The 18,203-nt window shown below is 40.1% G+C and overlaps 1 protein-coding gene across 13 annotated transcripts in view; it reads right to left on the bottom strand.

Moving 5' to 3' along the window:
• Window positions 1-18,203, bottom strand: part of FMNL2 (formin like 2) — a 314,653-nt gene that overhangs the window by 99,517 nt on the left and 196,933 nt on the right. For all 13 annotated transcript variants that reach the window (XR_241279.5, XM_011510531.2, XM_011510533.4 and 10 more), the window contains exons 3-4: window positions 7,491-7,571; window positions 1,213-1,289 (exon numbers count right to left, since the gene is read on the bottom strand). Coding sequence is in view for 12 of the 13 variants with exons in the window: in XM_011510531.2 (XP_011508833.1) it covers window positions 1,213-1,289; window positions 7,491-7,571 (158 nt within the window). In the remaining variant the exon portion in view is untranslated. The remainder of the gene's footprint in view (window positions 1-1,212; window positions 1,290-7,490; window positions 7,572-18,203) is intronic.

The following is an 18,203-nucleotide window of genomic DNA, read 5'->3' as shown; positions in this document are numbered from 1 at the left end:
CACATTCTTACCCAAGTTCCATCACCTATCAATCACAATAGCATTTCTACAGTTTCTAAAAGTTTATTTTGAAATAACTATGCTAATTAACCATTTGAATGGCTTACAGCAGTCTGAAGTAAACTTTTATCTACATAATAAATCCACATCAAGTCCTTACTTAACCTCAAATAACATTATTTCATTATGACATTGATGAGGGGGGGAAAAGGTTTTATAACAACATTATTTCACTTAAACTCATGGTTTTCAAGAAGAACTATCAACGAGACAGAACTTACTGTATGTTACAGCATACTCTGTAAAACTAAAGTGCAATATATATACATCAAAATTAATTTCCAATAGACTTGCAAAGAATGTCATGGGAAAATTCTAAAAGATCTAAAAGTCGATAGTCCTCTCATTGTAAAGCTCAAAGAATCAAAACCAAAGGGGTTAAATAGCTTGCCCAATGTTACGCAGGTGCTTTGGGCAGAAGGAGGGCTACAAAATAGGATACCTGATATCATTCTACCTTAGAGAGAAGCCATCTTGTTTTAAGACATAGTACAATTAGGCCACCCAGGGGTAAGGGAGAATATAATATTGCTGTTCTTGCCTGAGGCAAAGCACCATGTCATTGTCTGAAAGAAACTCAGAATGCTTAGTGCATAGATTCCCTGAACTTTATTTTCCCACAGTGGATTTACACTTCATGGTCCTGAGGTTTTGAGATGTATGAAAAAGAGACTGAGAATGTGTCTGAGTGCAATGAGGTGAGTCAAGTGACATTATTCCAGCTTCCGTCCCCTTCTGGCCAGAAACTCTAGAGAATTAACGAAAGGGAAATAAAGCAGCTTCAACCAACCAACTTGGAGAACTACAGTAAAAGCTTAGAGATTTTCCAAGATCTCAGTCTACATGCACTATTGGGGGTTTCTGATTTGCCAGAGAATTGTTATGCACACATGAAACCAAGTGTCCATATTTACTGCACCCGCTCAAAGAAATATAGAATTGTTATAAATTCCACATCAAGGACTATCTGTCTTGCTTCTGCTGATTCTTGGGCAGTAAGTAATTTGAGTACTAACAAGGTTTCATCTACTAAAACCTCAGTCTTTTAATTTATAATGGCCCATAAGGAAGCTCAATTCTTTGGGTATGATTCAGTTACTTTGTAAAGTGTCCAAAAGCTTTAGAGCTAAGATGTTAAAGGGGTATACTTACCCAATGTGGTTAGTTCTCAAAGAAATTTCCAGTTCTCTTAGCACTTGTGTAGATTCTTGAACACGCCGTCTGAATTTCTATAATTCAAGAACACATATTCTCACAAAATATTTTAGCAACTGCTATAACTGAAGCTTAGTTATAATAAATTTAACACAATATGAAAAATATCTTCACTTCTAAAATGGGCTTCCCTCACTTTTTTTGTTGCAGAGCACACAAATTTTCCTCACCATGAAAATTAACTACTGAGAAAGGACTACAAAAAGTCCTTGTTTTATGTAATGTGCCTTTCAGTAAGTAGATTTTATTTCCCTACCCCACACACACAACAGTATTCACCAATATTCCTATGGGTCAGGGACCCCAGTACTACCTCCAGTTTCAATGATTCATTAGGAGCACTCAAAGGACTCAGCATACAGTCATACCCGTGGCTATGATGTATTACAGTAAAAGAATACAAAGCAAGATCAGCAAAGAGAAAAGGTGCATAGGATAAAACGTGCAGGAAACCAGGTGCAATCTTCCAGGAGTCCTCTCCCCGAGGAGACACAAATGACAACATGCATAAAGCTCATTAGAGACTCAGTGGCCAGGTTCTTATTGGGAGCTGGTTTAATAGGCAACTCTCTGCCTAGTACATTACACAAATTCAGACTCCCAGAGGGAAAAGAGGCATTCAGCATAAGCCGTATTGTTTTCATAAACTGTTTAGGCACAGCGAAACAGTCTTATCAGGAAATGGTAGGAACTTTCCCCCGTCAAACACAAGTTCCTAGATGCCAGCCAAGGGCCAACCTTGCAGGCAGGCCCTTTGCTAAGCATAGCAGTCTCAGGCCTGCTATGTTAATTTTTTTTCTGCGTGACCTAACACGTTGCAAAAATAAGCATGCAGAGCTACCTCTGCCCCTTATTCCTCACTTAGAGGGTCCTTCCTCCAGAGCACACCACCCTCCTGACATGAACTGCCCTTCCTCATTCCCTTGCCTGTTAAAATCCCACCTACCCTTCCAGGAATCCCTCGGGGCTTCTTTCTTCACTGAATCCACCTCTGATAGTAAATGTGTTAATATACACCTCTCTAGCCTCTTGACCCTAAATCATTTCCAAGATATCAATGGGCTACATTGCACATCAGTCCTTTGGAACACATTTTCCTACAGAAATATAAAGTGACAGTCTCAGGCCACTTTGAAGGAAGAAAACTTGATGTCAGCGCCTCCTAAGCGGAGTTCCAGACTATCTGTGCTACGAACCTGAACCACCTTTATGTCACACTGTTTACAGGAAAGAGCTTTGAGAATTCTGGCTCAGGATATAAAGGACCTCTCTCCTCTGCTGCCACAATTGCAGCAGACACAGAGTCCTTCAGCTCCAAGGACAAGAAGAAAAGGAAGGAGGATGGAAGTAAGGATTCCAGAATGTGGGGTGGCAAGAGCTACGCCCACACCTGGGACTTGGTGGCCCATGAAGGCCTGAAGCACGGCTCAGCACAGCAGGCTCCTGTTACCCTGTCATCTTCTTCTGAAAGCCCCTGGCTTCCCCACCAGCTGCTTCTAAGCAGAGCCCCCAAGGAAGCAGATGGTCTCACAGTTCCTCCATAAATGCCATTCCCAAGACAATCTAAAAAGACCATGTCAGGTTTCCAGAATCCAGGTATAGTAAGAAGTAGGAAATAAAAATGTCCCCAATGTGATGGAAAAAAGAGAGGCACTCCCCTCTTCTGTCGAAACAGGCCTAACAAATGGTGGCATACTTGAGAGTTTGGAGGACACCCAACCCCAGAGCTCCCTAGACCACTTCCCAGCAATGAGGAGGCTCGGCACAGTACTTGGCTTGAAAAGGGAGTAATGGCCAAGCTCAGTGGCTCACGCCTGTAATCCCAGCACTTTGAGAGGCCAAGGTGGGTGGATCACCTGAGGTCAGGAGTTCAGGACCAGCTTGGCCAACATGGAGAAACTCTGTCACTACTAAAAAGTACAAAAATTAGGCATGGTAGCACAAGCCTGTAATCCCAGCTACTCAGGAAGCTGAGGCACGAGAACTGTTTGCACCTGGGAGGCAGCGGTTGCAGCAAGCCGAAATCGGGCCACTGCACTCCATCCGGGGTGACAGAGCGAGACTCCATCTCAAAAAAAAAAAAAAAAAGAATGGGGGCAAGTAATGCAGGATGGGCAGCTAAAGGTATTCTCTCTCTTTAAACTCTTCCTTGGAGCTAAAAATTAGGAATAGAGTAGAGGAGAGTCAGTAGAATGGAGCAGGCAGTCTGCTGTGTATATAGAGAAGGGAAGAGAAAGGAGACAAAAAATTCTAGGGTCTCTGGTCACACAGCTAAGGCAACCATTTCCAGATATGCTGGCTGCTCAGTGTGGCCACTCCCGTGTCAGAGTCCTAAGTCTCGGGCTGCCTGCACAGGTGGTTGTCAGAAAATAACTCAGCCTTCCAAGCTCTGTGTTATGTGCACTTCTGACTCATTCCCTGCAGCCTTTGCTTCTGCTGGGCCCCTGATATACTTTGGATATTTGTCCCTTCCAAATCCCACGTTGAAATAGGACCTCCAATGTTGGAGGTGGGCCTAGTGGGAGGTATTTGGGTCATGGGGGCAGATAGCGCCTGAACTGCTTGGTGCTGTCCTCGTGATAATAAGTGGCTTCTTACTCCTAAGAGTTCCTGTGAGATCTGGCTGTTTAAGAGAGGCTGGTACCTCCTCCCTCTTGCTCACCATGTGACACACCCGCTCCCCCTTAGCCTTCCGCCATGATTGTAAACCCCGAGGCCCTCACTAGAAGCAAATGCCAGCACCACACTTCCTGTACAGCCTAAAGAACTGTAGGCCAAAATAAACCTGTTTTCCTCATAAATTACCTAGCCTTAAGTATTTCTTTATAGCAACACAAAGGAACTAACACCCAGCCCCTAATGCCGCCTTCTGCTTCCTCGGGGCAAGGTCATCCCTTACGTATGCCATCAGGCACAAGGGCACCCAGCGTAGCACTGAGGACATAGCAGAGTATAAAAGAGGGTCCACTGAAGGACTAAGAGCTATGTATCGAAACCAGGTAACTAAATCAAAACACGATGAGGTAATAATAACAGCAGCAGCGCTGTTTTTGGGCACTGACTATGCTACCTAGGCACTACCCTTCTGCAACTGCCTGATAACGGAGGCAAACTAAACTGACTTTACTCCTGTATTACATTATCTAAGGAACGGCTCAATTTTCGGCTAGATTCTGGGCCACAGAGAAGTCTTGGAGTCCACTTCTCTAATATATACACAATGAGTGCTAACACTTTGCACTTCTAAAATCTATCCAGAATGCAAAACACTATGAAAAGAAATTATGTGCCCATGGGGAGCCACAGAGGATCCATGAGCAGTCTGTACTATTCTCCCTTCCCTCCCCATCAAGGGAGGCCTGGGATGAGCCCCCAGAGGCAGCTGAGCCCAGGATGAGCCCTACAATAGGTTTCATCTCACAACTGCAGCGCCAGCAAAGGACCAGAATCCTTTAAACACAGACTAATCACTTCCTGGTATTAAATAAGGAGGCTGGTTTGGAGAGTTCTGTTCATAGAGATATCTAATTTAGGCTCTTCCTTTTCTGCCCGAGAGGTTTCATTTAAAACTATTTAGAAGAAAATCTAAATAGAAAATGCTTAAAATTTTTTTTTAAAAAAAGCAAATTAAGTATCTTCTATTCAATTTGCACAAAAGATTAACGAATCAAGTATTCGAGGACTCCAGACACAGTTAAAGGAAAACTGCCCAACCTAGACTGTCTGGCTGAAATTTAAAGCCCCGAATTGAAATCTTTTTCTCCCCCACCATAATACAGCTGAGAATTTTAAGCTCATTTTAACTGCAAGCCATGTCTTATTTCAACAAATCTCCTTTTTTTCCAGGCTTTAAGCATTACAATTATGTTGTGTGGAACAGATCATTTCCTCCTGCCAGCTCCTGACAGAATCTTACTAAAGCAGGGGTGGTTAATCCACCATCCATTTTATTTTTTCTGAGCTGAATGACTGATCTTGAAAGATGAAGCACAGACCAAACATGGCCATTCAGGTGAACGCACATGGGCCAGGGCAGAAATGTCGGGAATGAAGGCCCAAACAGACATCTTATGTCCTGCTCCAGTTTATTATTTGTGAGGAAGCAAAACATTTTCTGGGAAGCTTATCTGTTGTTTTGTTTCACTTTGTTCTCTTTGCCTAAACCCAGAAACAGCTGATCTAAAGGAAAATTGGAACTGTGCCAGGAGGAAGCCCACCTCTTCCTTCTAAGCATCTTCCTCCATGTGGGGTATGGAAGTGGGGGCCTAAGCAGCACTCCCTAGGAGTGTGCATATTTTTTCCTTTCTATTCAGAACTGGAAAAATGTGGAAGGAATTTTTTGGAGGTAGGATGAATTCTGCATGAGGAAAGGTCTCAGTCTTCTGTATAAACATCAGCATCTCTGCCACACTCAACTCAGGGTGAGCATTAGGACTCAATGCTGAGGTCTGAGCCATCTAGCCTGAAGGTTACAAGTTTGGAGATTTCAGAAAACCTTTAGAAATCGATTCTAAAACAGAATCTTGCTGTCCCTTTGCAAAGAAATAGTGCAGAAAAACACCTGTCTGGGGATGTATTTTGTGTATATGGGTGTGTCTGTATTTATTTATTTATTTTTCTTTTTGAGACACAGTTTTTTGCTCTTTTTGCCCAGGCTGGAGTGCAATGGCACAATCTCAGCTCACTGCAACCTCCGCCTCCTGGGTTCAAGCGATTCTCCTACCTCAGCCTCCCGAGTAGCTGGGATTACAGGTGCCTGCCACCATGCCTGGCTCATTTTTGTAGTTTTAGTAGAGACAGGGTTTCACCATGTTGGTCTTGAACTCCTGACCTCAGGTGATCCACCCACCTTAGCTTCCCAAAGTGCTGGGATTACAGACGTGAGCCACTGTGCCAGGCCTGGGTGTATCCTCCTTTACAGACCTCTTTAAATGATGAAATTAAGACTGCCACATTCTTAGGGAAAGGGAGAAATGAGAGAAGTTAACAAGAACTGAACAATAGTCTCATTTGCAGGTGTAAGACCTGACAACAGGTCTTTTAGAAAGAAATGTGTGTGCCACATTTACGAGGGGAGAAGTATCATGATACTTTGACAGGTACGTTCCTGGATTGAAGGTTGTGTCACATTCAAGTCACATATGACATACAGCCAGTGATGAAGTTCTGCACTACACTGTCATCATCACTACTAGATTTTATTTCCCCTTGTCTACATATTAACCGTAAGAGAAAGGCCTAGGAAACTTCCAAAAGGAAATAATAGCTGTTCTCCTTTGCTGGACTTTTTTTTTTTTTTTTTTTTGGTCGGGGGGTGGGCGGTGAGGGGAGGAAGAGTTAGAGTAGAAGATAAAGAAAAAGATTTTTTTTTTAATGCAAGCATCAAGAGCCCTGAAAATGGCTAACTAGGTAAAGTATACCATTCTTTTCTCAAGAATCACACACTGAAACAACAGAGAGAATCAGCCTGAGAGATTTTCGCAGGAGCCTTAAAAGCAGGAGTTGTAGGTCAATGGAAAAACAAATGCTATCTGGTAAAGCACCCCTTCACCCATCTTGAGCAAGGACAGCTCTGCCCTGAGACATCCCAGGACTGATTCAGGCCCACAGGGCCGTGCCAGGCTACATGCTTTACCACGAGGCATCAGTTTAAACCAATTGTGTGGCTGCACAAAGCAGGGCTTGTTTGTAAAAGGGGAGAGTCTGTTGAGAATGGAATCAGCTATTCTCTACTTACCTTCTCAGGCCAGGGGCAGGGGTTGGGGGGAGTAGGGGGGAGCTGCTAAAAGCATCAACACAGGATGTGAGTGCACAGCTGGGATGACAAAGGCCCAGTGATTTTTCAAGGTCTCTGGAAATGCACCAAGGCATAAAAAACTGAAAGGCAAGTATTCCCTTTGCAAAGCCTGCTCTTCTAGGGGCCTGAATACCTCTGGAATGCACTCACTGCCCTACGTAATTGGAAATAGCAGTGACTCAACAACCATCAGAGGTACGTGACTCTCATGTCAGGAAAGAACTTTTATACACATCTTCAAGTGAGAAGGTTGTTTTTTTTCCTTTGTCTTCTTACGTTGTTGGTCTCCCAAGGTTGTTTTTTGTGGAGGCTCTGGCAGAGGCTCTAATGCAGAGGAAGGAAGGTCTCTTCCAATGCAGGAGGATTCTGCTCGCTAATAAGGAAGCAATAACAAAGAGTGGAAACAAATCCATCTTACCTTCCTGGTTACAGCTGGATCCAGATAGCCTTTGAGCTTTTGAATGTATGTATGGGGAGGATTCTTCACCTGGAATCGTTCCTGCAGAAAGCACAAAAGTCCAAAGCATGAAAGGTATGAAGCCATGACACAGTCAGCCACATCAGATTATGTTACCAAAATATGACCAAAATGCATCCACAGTATAAATGTGGCCCTGCGAGCAGTCATTTTGTACTAACTGTTTTGCATCTTGGTAGTAGATGTGATCCCCTCTTTGCATAGGAGGAAAACTGAAGCTCAGAGAAATGCAGAACTCTCTTTGATGACACTGCTGGTCACATGTACATGTGGGTTTGAACCCACATCTGCTCAACTCCAGAGTCAGTACTGCTTTCTCTGTAGGGCCCTGCAGCTTCCATTCTAGGAATGGTGTTTTGCCCAACCTGTTTCAGGTCCTCCTTCAGCAGGTCTTCAATCTTTTGCATATTCTTTTGAATATCTTCAATGTTGGCAAATCTTTCTCTTTTGGATATTTATTTTATCTTTGAAAATAACAAAAGATTTGACTCAAACTGATAAAGCTAATTTTTTTCAAATATGAGCAACGAGTCAATTGCTGGAATGTGGGAGTGTTATGTTTGCATGGGTACACATGTGTGTGCCGACATGAATGGATTCCAACCTGGAAGATCCAAAAGTATCCTGAGCAAAGGCAGTCACTGGAATAAGCATAAACATACACAATATACAGTCCAAGGTGATATCTGAATGTAGGTCAGAGGTGGGGCCCAAGAATCAACATTTCTAACACGTTTTATGCTAATGCTGCCAAAAGAGGAACCATACTTTGAAAAATTCATGCCACGTGTATCAGGTTTTATAGACCCTAATGTCCAAAGCAGAACAGGCAACAGTAAAAACCTGGGTAGAAGCCACATGTCCACAAACCATAAAATGAACCAGTACTTATATTTACGTTCATACAATGGTATACTAGATTACAATGAAAACAAGCCATGTACTGCATGCTCCTATGAATGGATCTCACAAACCTGATGCTGAGCCAAGAAGAACACCTGATTTCATTTCTTCACACTTATAAAATAGGTGACATTAAACTTTAATGGTTACAGATACACACTCAAGGGGTAACACTATACATATAGATATATGGTTTTATATTGTGTGTATATATGCGTACTTGGAGATGATCAGCCTGAAAGTCATGGTTGGAGGACTGAAGTGGGGAAAGTCATAATCAAAGGGGGAAATATGGCACATTCCTAAGAGGCCAGCAGTTCTATTTCTTGATCTGAGTAGCAGTTACAAAGGTGCTGGCTTTATACTACTTACTATGCTGGTTCTCGGGCTTAACTACCTTTTCTATATAGATGCTATATTTCTCACAAAAAAAAGTTTAAATCAGCTCTAAAGGAAAAATAAAGATTCATCAAGAAATGAGGACAAGCCTGGGTAACATGGTGAAACCCCATCTCTACAAAAAATACAAAAAATTAGCTGGGTGTGGTGGCACATGCCTGTAGTCCCAGCTATCCAGGAGACTGAGGTGGAAGAACCACCTGAGCCTGGGAGGTTAAGGCTGCAGTGAGCCCTGATCGTGCCACTGCACTCCAGCCTGGGTAACAGAGCGAGACCCTGTCTAAAACAAAAAAAAGAAAAGAAAAGAAAAAAAGAAATGAGGATAATCTTTATCATGTTCTTTTCTACGTACAACCCAAAAGGTATTTTCTTACTTTAATTCTTTATAATCTGATTATCACTTACTCCACAACGGAATTTTTTGGTATTTCACTCTGACAATTGGCCAGCATGTGCATGCATTTGTTTATCCCATAGAAACTTGTATTTCTCCAACACAGGGAACCACAACATTCTGCATGGTCCACTGAAGCCTTGCTTGCTTGTAGATTTTAAAATGCTAAAGGCCACTGTAATAATACTGAAAAGATAATCTTATTATTATTATTAATTTTTAATTATACTTTAAGTTTTAGGGTACATGTGCACATTGTGCAGGTTAGTTACATATGTATACGTGTGCCATGCTGGTGCGCTGCACCCACTAACTCGTCATCTAGCATTAGGTATATCTCCCAATGCTATCCCTCCCCCCTCCCCCCACCCCACCACAGTCCCCAGAGTGTGATATTCCCCTTCCTGTGTCCATGTGATCTCATTGTTCAATTCCCACCTATGAGATAATCTTATTATTTAAAATCTATATTTGTTATTGTTTATCCTTGAAAATAGGGGGAATGGTTTGTAGTAGGACACCTATTAATATTTTCCCTTTATTTAAAAATAATCAGGGTGAATTTTGTAGTATATGAACTCTATCTCAATCAAGCTGCTTTTAAAAAAAGAACAGCACACTTTTTCTAATTATTCCTTCAAATGTTCTATCTCGAGAGCAATTTCTAAGTAATCACAACTATTCAACATCTCTAGTGCCATCACTGTGTCTGTGTATAAACTACTTTTTTTAAATCACCATCACCTCACCAAGGAATCAGAGGGGATCCTATTGCCATGGGGATTTAGCAGTAGTCCAGCTGAGGGCTAAAATAATCACAAGAAGCTCAGAAAAATGAACTGATGAGCTATCTAGAAGCCAGTCATTATTTCCAACCTCATGTATGACAACAGCTGATGCCAAACACATATCAGAATATAAATAAATATTATCCTTTTAAATAATATAATTCCAATTATTCAAAAAAAATTTTTTTGAGAGAGTCTCACTCTGTCACCCAGGCTGGAATGCAGTGGCACAATCACAGCTCACTGCAGCCTCGACTTCCCAGGTTCAAGCAATCCTCCTAATTCCACCTCCTAAGAAGTTGGATCTATAGGTGCAGGCAACCACGCCCAGCTAATTTTCTAAAGACAAGGTCTCACCATGTTGCCCAGGCTGGTATTGAACTCCTGGGCTCAATTTTATTTTTACAATAATAAAATTTGGTGGAGTAGCACATGTAACGCAGTAGCATTCACTCATTTAGTGAGCCCTATCTTTGACAGTCAGTAAAGGCAGCTTTTTTTCATTTCCTATTTGGGACTGTGGCGACTCAGAAGGCTTACTCAAATACATACATTTGCTGGTCCTGTTGACTGGACTATATTTCCTTAGGACTTGAAATTATGAACAAGGTCTACATGTAATAAACTCACACTTTTTCAAATATGCTTATTTAGCATTTGTCGTTGTATTCCACATATTCTTCATTTGTTTGAGCAGCTTACTGATGTATTAAGAAAGAGAAAATAAGGAAGCCTCATGCTTTAAAACACAGTTGGTCCACATTGCATCCACTTCTAAGAAAACTCAGGTGGGGCCATTTGCCTTGGCATAGTCTGCCCATCTCCTCTTTCTACCTCCACTGCTGCCATGGAACCCGTGAAAAAGCTTGTGGCAAATGGGGAGAAGGAAGACAGAAAAAGAAGGTTCTGAAGTTCACTCTTGATTCCACCCACCCTCTAGAAGATGGAGTCATGGAAGCTGCCAATTTTGAGTGCTTTTTGCAAGAGGATCAAAATGAACAGAAAAGCTGGGAATCTCAATGGAGGGGTGGTAACTATCAAAAGGAGCAAGATCACCAAGACTTTGGAGGTGCCTTTTCAATTCATTTTGATAGCTCATCATGACTAAAGAATAACATTTCTACACAGTGCAACTCAAGTTGGTAACTTAATAAAGGTACTTATATCATTGATGTCAAGCAAGCAGGCAACGAGGTCCTGAAAATAACATGGGATATGAAGCAGTTTTAAAAGTGTGGGTAATGGAAGACTGCCAACCAAAGCAGTTTCGACTTTTAATACAATATCTAAAATTCTAATATTTAGAGGGAAAAATATATTAATTCAAATAAATAGGATGCCCATAATCCATCTGAAGTCCTTCAAAATAAATGTGTTTGGCAAGGTGCTGAAATTTTCTTATGTATTTTCCCAATGTTTCTGTTGTTCAAATTGGCCACATTGAAACAGAGAGAAAAGGTTTGGCAAATCAGGTGCTGAATTTATAACTCAAACAGTGGTTCCTTTAGATATTAGACAGGCAACCCCAAGTTTTACAAAAACAGTTGGGGCTTTGTATTCTTCCTCCATAACACTTTTATTTGGGTCCCTGGATGTAGGCCGAGTTTTCTTTTCTCTTCTCCCTCTCCCTCTCTCCTTCTTTCATGGTTCCCATGAAAGTTTTATATGAGTTTTATTTAAGAACTCATAAAAATACAGCTGGGTGCAGTGGCTCACGCCTGTAATCCCAGCACTTTGGGAGGCTGAGGCAGGTGGATCACCTGTGGTCAGGAGATTGAGACCAGCCTGGCCAACGTGGTGAAACCCCACCTCTACTAAAAATACAAAAATTAGTCAGGCGTGGTGGCGCGTGCCTGTAATCCCAGCTACTTGGGAGGCTGAGACAGGAGGATTACTTGAACCCAGGAGGTGGGGCTTGCAGTGAACTGAGATCATGCCACTGCAGTCCAGTCTGGGCGACAGAGTCTCCATCTCAAAAAACAAACAAACAAAAAAAAAAAACCTCATATAAAATATTCCAGATAATGAATTTTAATCCTCCTCTTCCTCTTCCCTGAACTGGTTAATTTAGAAGTAATGTAATTCGTAACTCCTTGCCTTTAGCAGCTACGTGCAATCCATCATGTAGATGATTCTTCAAATATCTTTTAGTGAGATATTTCAAATACAATTAACTTTTCATGTGGGGCAGTACTTTTTGTTTCTCTGATTTTTAACTTATCTTTCAGTGATACTTCACAGTTTATCACATTCTTTAGACCTCTTAGCTCACTCAAGCTTCTATATCTGGCAAGTAGATATTATCTCCATTTTGCAGATGAGGGAACTGAGGCTTAAAGATTAAATGACTTACCTGAAATCATATACTGTGTGTGTGTGTGTGTATGTGTAAGGTCTCTGATGTATTTTCCCAATGTTTCTGTTGTTCAAACACAGTTTTCTGACTTTTTCTGATGCTTGTTCATTTTACTACACTATAATAAGCATGCTCATCTTGAATTTAATAGTATAAACATTTTTTAAAGGGTGGAAACATGTTCTATTCTTCATTGAGTCCCAGTATGTAAAAGAATACTTGGCACACAGTTGATCTTCAACAATGTTCAAAGAATTAAACTTTTTAAAAATGTCACATACAAGTCACTTCTTTCATAAATTAAGGGTAACTTTTAAATGTAAAAGTAAACAAAGAGACTATAAGCACACTCTACAGGATGTACCCCAGCAGGTTCAGTAGACATAAGTTAGTCAAGCTCACGTCAGAGCCAAAGAACATTTGCTGATGAGCCGCAGCTGTGTCTCTCGTAGATCTAAAGCCGTCTAATGCCTTTCATAACCATACGTTTCCTCATTAACCCAATCCCCTAAGGCGTATGTTAGCTTCCTCTTTCCCTACTGGTTGCCTGGAACGTTAGGCTGCCTATACACATACCTGCCTTGCAGACAAGGAAAAAACAAAACACTTATTGGACTCCACTTAATGACCAAGTCTACTGCAACCCAAGGTGGGAAACTAGACCATTGTGAAAAGAACTAAGTGACGGGCTGTGACAGGGGTGTAGTAAATTAATTAGGTAAGTCACAGCAAACAGAATTCATCAGCTATGCTACAACATAGCCTTTTCTACTAGACACAGGCAGGCAGACTTAAGTTCTTTCTAACAAGCTGAACTGTTTCTTTGGTTCGTCCTCTCCCTACATGTCCTCCTCCTCTTTCTCCACTTAAATCTAATAGAGTTTGTCATTGAAAGCCTTTCTGTGTAAAGGTTTGAAATTTGGACATTCCACTCATCTAGCTTAGCATTTCTGATCTTTTACATCCTCTCTATCCAATTACATGAGAAATTAATTGGGGTTAATTTGGTGTGAGCTAGACTCAGAACAAGCATGTTATAAGCATTTCCGCTCCATAAATCACATTTGGATACACAATCAAACAAGAATTCCATTCCAGTTTATCTTATACCTTCATATTCTGAGGCTTAAGGAAAGAAATTATAACATGACATCTGAAAATAGAAATCTCAGGGGATGAATGGCTCTCAGGGCACACACTGTTGAGTTTCTCTCCCGTTTGGTATAGCCACACAGTCACTGGCTCTATTTCAGTGGTGTATTAGCAGAGCTACATAAACTGCTTGAACATCCTCAGGGATGAATTAGATGTCACCATCATTATGTGAGTATTAATGTTTTATTATCTTGATCCTAAAATAATTCATTTTAGATAGTAACAATTTAAAGGGCGTTGTTTTTGTTCACATAATGTCACTACACTTGAATGTTTTCTTCCTGGAAGCTGGAAGTAGTTGGGCATCCTTTCCAAAGGCTGAGTAGGCAAACTGCAGTCTCTAAATGAGCCAATATTACAACCAGCACTATTGCTATTAGTAAGTACTAATTTGTAAGATTTAGCTTAGTGCTAAGTACTCTTCAGAGTTAAGCTGACAGACATAATTCATATCCTCAAGGGTTTTACCCTCTAAAATAGATAATGCTGACACAAGTAACAGGGAGAGGAAAAGATGAAAATAAAATGTTGCAATAATATTGTATATGGACAGAAATGATTTATCCAACACGGAAGAGGCCAAGAACAGTGCACCTGCGTGGTGCAGGGTGGGCTAGAAGAGGGGAGAGGGTTGCCAAGACCAATCAGCATCCCTAAACAGGAGGGCCTGAGGTAAGCCCTAACACCTTGCCCTCCCAGGGCTAACCATTTATACAAATAAAAAATGATTTACACAAATAGACCTGGATTCCCAAAGAACTGAGAGAACCAAAGTCCCCAAAAGAATGCATGCTCATTGTTTCCCCCAAAATAAAAATTCTGAAATTTCAGAGTAGCTGGCGGACTTCCCCATCTACAGAAAGTATGCGTATGAGCATGTTGGGGATGGTGAGATAGGAGAGGACAATTGACAGAAAATGAAAAAGTATTAAGTCTCTGCCTACTGACTATAATAGATGGCCAAGAAGGCAAGTTCAGATGAGATTCTAATTTGTATAATGACTACCAGAGGAAGCTAGTGCCAGCTGGGCTACTATTTAGAGGGATCCCAGTGGTCATTATTGGATGAAAACATCTTGCTAAACAAGCCCCTGCCTCTGAACATTTTAAATCTTACTAACATGTTTGGATCCCCTGTTTCCAGGCACTAACACGAAAACTTTAAAAAAGGCTTTTTACTCTTTCACCTATCCAGAACACATTACAGAAGACACTGTAAAAAGCACAAAAAGAAATAAATTCAATTGCAAAGTATTAAATCTCATCTCTGAGATGCAACAGACATAGTTGTAATACAAAGTAGAATATGATAAGAGCCATATGTGATCCTCTCAAAGTTCAAAGAAAGGTGAGGCTCTTCCCAACTGAGATGATCAAAGGAACCTCCCTGGAGAAAGTGGCTTTTGAATTGAATTTTGGAAGGCAGGCAGTGCACAGATATCCTGGGACAGTATAAGAGGCAGGAGACAGAGGAGTTTTCCAGATCAGGAACATGGGAACAAAAGCAGAGAAAGGAGGGATATGTGGTAGTAACTTCAAGAGGTTTAGCTGAGTTCTAGTAATCCAGTTTATGAAAATTGCACAAAGGATCTAAATGGTAAGTCAGAACAAACGACAGTGGATGTCAAATAATAGGTTAGGAATACAGGACAGACAACAAGGAGTCTTGAATAGTGAAAACGTGCATGATTAATACTGTGTACCTCTTTCCTCCGTTCCCAACTTTTAAAGTTGGCCATTTCTGCGCTAGACTGGACTTGAAAATCAGCACGACAGATTCATTCCACAGCCATAGTTTCTTGGAGAGCCTCAAAACATTCTTCAGCTCTGAATATGAAATCATTTTGCTAGTTGAAGAGGAAAGGACAACTTTCCAAGTGTTCCATTACAGCTCTCAGACTGAAAATAACCTCTGATGAGACTTTTCCAAATGCTTTCTTTTATTTAGACTAGCGAGAATTTATTCTAGTTCAATGAGTCTTTCCTGACCAAAACATCCTATAACTCATTTTCTAATACGTAATATTGAGTAGGTTTCTTTAATCCTACTCCTCTTACTTAGGAATGCCTTTCAAACAAAAAGAAAGTACAGATGATCTTTCAGAGTCCCCAGAGATGGTCATGTATCATACAAATAAAACATTAGGGGTTGGGAGAGAACAGAGTTCAAAATCTGATCAGGAAAAAAAAAAAAAAAAAAGACAAAATAAGCCTTAAGAGTTCTTGTAGAAACCATTAGGCAATTCAAGAGCACTAATATTTTCAATTACTCAAGAATTTTTTTAAATTACAAGCTCCGATTTTAAGAATTGCTTTTCTGACTACAGTTAAATTAATTGGCTTATCTGAAACTCCATTGGCCTCAATTCAAACAGTGTACAAATTGTGGGTATAATTATCATAACTTCAATAGGTGCTAGCTGAATCAAACTGAACTGGAATATTCACTGAGGCGGTTTTATTGTCAGTGAAACTTTAAAGCAAGTAGCATGGGAGGAGCTAAAGAAGCTGCTTTCCACTAAAATCAATAAGTGGTGCGAAGGGTCTGATACATGCAAAGAAAGCATGCTTGTGAACATAATAATTGAAAATAAGAGAAATTCATCAGATCTTAATCATCCTACCCTTACCACTTGCTTTTATTTAATTTAGGCACAGATTTAAACATAAGAACCAAGCTCAAAACACTCAACTTCAACTTTTATCCAAGGCAGTTGTTTCTATTACAGAAGCCATAAAATAGTGTTTAATTATAAAACTGGGTTTTGGTAAGTACGATGATATAACATAAACCATCTCTCTCTACAAAGGCATAAATGAAGTGGTGGGAGGTTGTTCAAAAACAATATTCCTCTAGGAACAAAAAATTGGAAACATTTTAAAAATATATCCCTTAAAATAGCACCCAAAATCATGACATTTAGAGATAAATTTAAAATATGTGTAAGACCTGTATACTACTAGAAATGTCAAAAAATTCCTGCAAGATATTAAAAACACCTAAATCAATAGAGTACCATGTTCATAGATCAGAAGAGTCAATATTGTATAAATGTCAATTCTACTGAAATTGATCTACAGAGCCAGTGCATCTTCTGCCAAACTCCTGGAAGGTTTTTTTTTCTTAGAAACTGACAAGCTGATTCTAAAATTTATATTAAAATGCAAAGGAACTAGAATAGCCAAAATAATTTAGCAAAAAAAAAAAAAAAAAAAAAGTTGGAGAATTGACACTACCTGATTTCAAGACAGTAATCAAACCAGAGACATATTGGCGTAAGGATAAAAATATAGATGAGTAGAACAGAATAGAGAACACAAAAATAGACCCACACGTTTATGGCCAATTGGTTTTCAAAGATACCAAGGTAGTTCATGAAAAAAAGAGCAGTCTATTAAATAAATTGTGCTGAAACAGTTGGAGGTAAAGTTAGATAAATACAGAAGCATACATGGATGGATGGATAGACAGACAGATGATAGATAGACAGATGAGGAAAAAGTACAACTCCACCCTTAACTCATCCCACATATCAAAATAGATTATAGACTAAAACATAAGAACCAAAACTGTAAAATTTCCAGAAGAAAACATAAGAGATAATCTCTGTGACCTGAAGGTAGACAAAAAATTTCTTAGGAAACAAAATGCAAGAGCCACTTAAAAAATAAATTCAATTTAATCAGAAAAACTTTTGTTCTTCAGAAAATACTATTATAAATACTAAAAAGTGAGACAAAAACTAATGAAATATTTGCAAAGTATCTGTTTGATAAAGACTTGTATCCAGAATATTGTTTAAAACTTCTGCAGCTCACTAAGACAAATAACCCACTTTTTAAAAATAGGCAAAAGAGGCCAGGCGCAGTGGCTCACACCTGTAATCCCAGCTCTTTGGGAGGCCAAGGCGGGTGGATCACTTGAGGTCAGGAGTTTGAGACCAGCCTGGCCAACGTGGTGAAACCCTGTCTCTACTAAAAATACGAAAATTAGCTGGGCATGGTGGTGCATGCCTGTAATCCCAGCTACTCGGGAGACTGAGGCAGGAGAATCGCTTGAACCCAGGAAACGGAGGTTGCAATGAGCCAAGATCATGCCACTCCACTCCAGCCTGGGCAAAAGAGTAAGACTCCATCTCAAAAAAAAAAAAAATAAGAAAAAAAATTAAAATAGGCAAAAGATTTGAACAGAGCAGATCCTTCAACAAAGATATACAAATGTCAAACAGGCACATAAAAAGATGCTCAACATCATTAGTCATTAGGGAAATGCAAATTAAAACCACAGTAAGATACTGCCATATGCCCATAAAAATGGCTAGAATTTTAACGGACTGACAATACCAAGGGTTGATTGGATTTGGAGCAACAGGGACGCTATTACATCGCTGGTAGGAATGCAAAATGGTCTAGCCACTTTGGAAAACACAACTGGTGAACATTATTGTATATAAATTAGACCTCAATAAAAATAATTAAAAACAGTATATCAAAGTAATTTTAGATATTATTTATTTACTTTGTTACTGAGCACAACTCTCTTGAAAAAGTTTATCTTGCCCTAATGAAGAAGAAATGCACCAGAGACAAGCCAAATATTCATCTTTGTCAATTAATACTTTTGCAGGAAATAAAGTACTCCAAGGGATCCTATAAAC

This window comes from Homo sapiens, chromosome 2 (genome assembly GCF_000001405.40).
Source record: "Homo sapiens chromosome 2, GRCh38.p14 Primary Assembly".
Lineage (NCBI taxonomy): Eukaryota > Metazoa > Chordata > Mammalia > Primates > Hominidae > Homo > Homo sapiens.
Note: the sequence above shows the minus strand (reverse complement) of the source record. Positions and strands in the feature narration are given on the sequence as shown.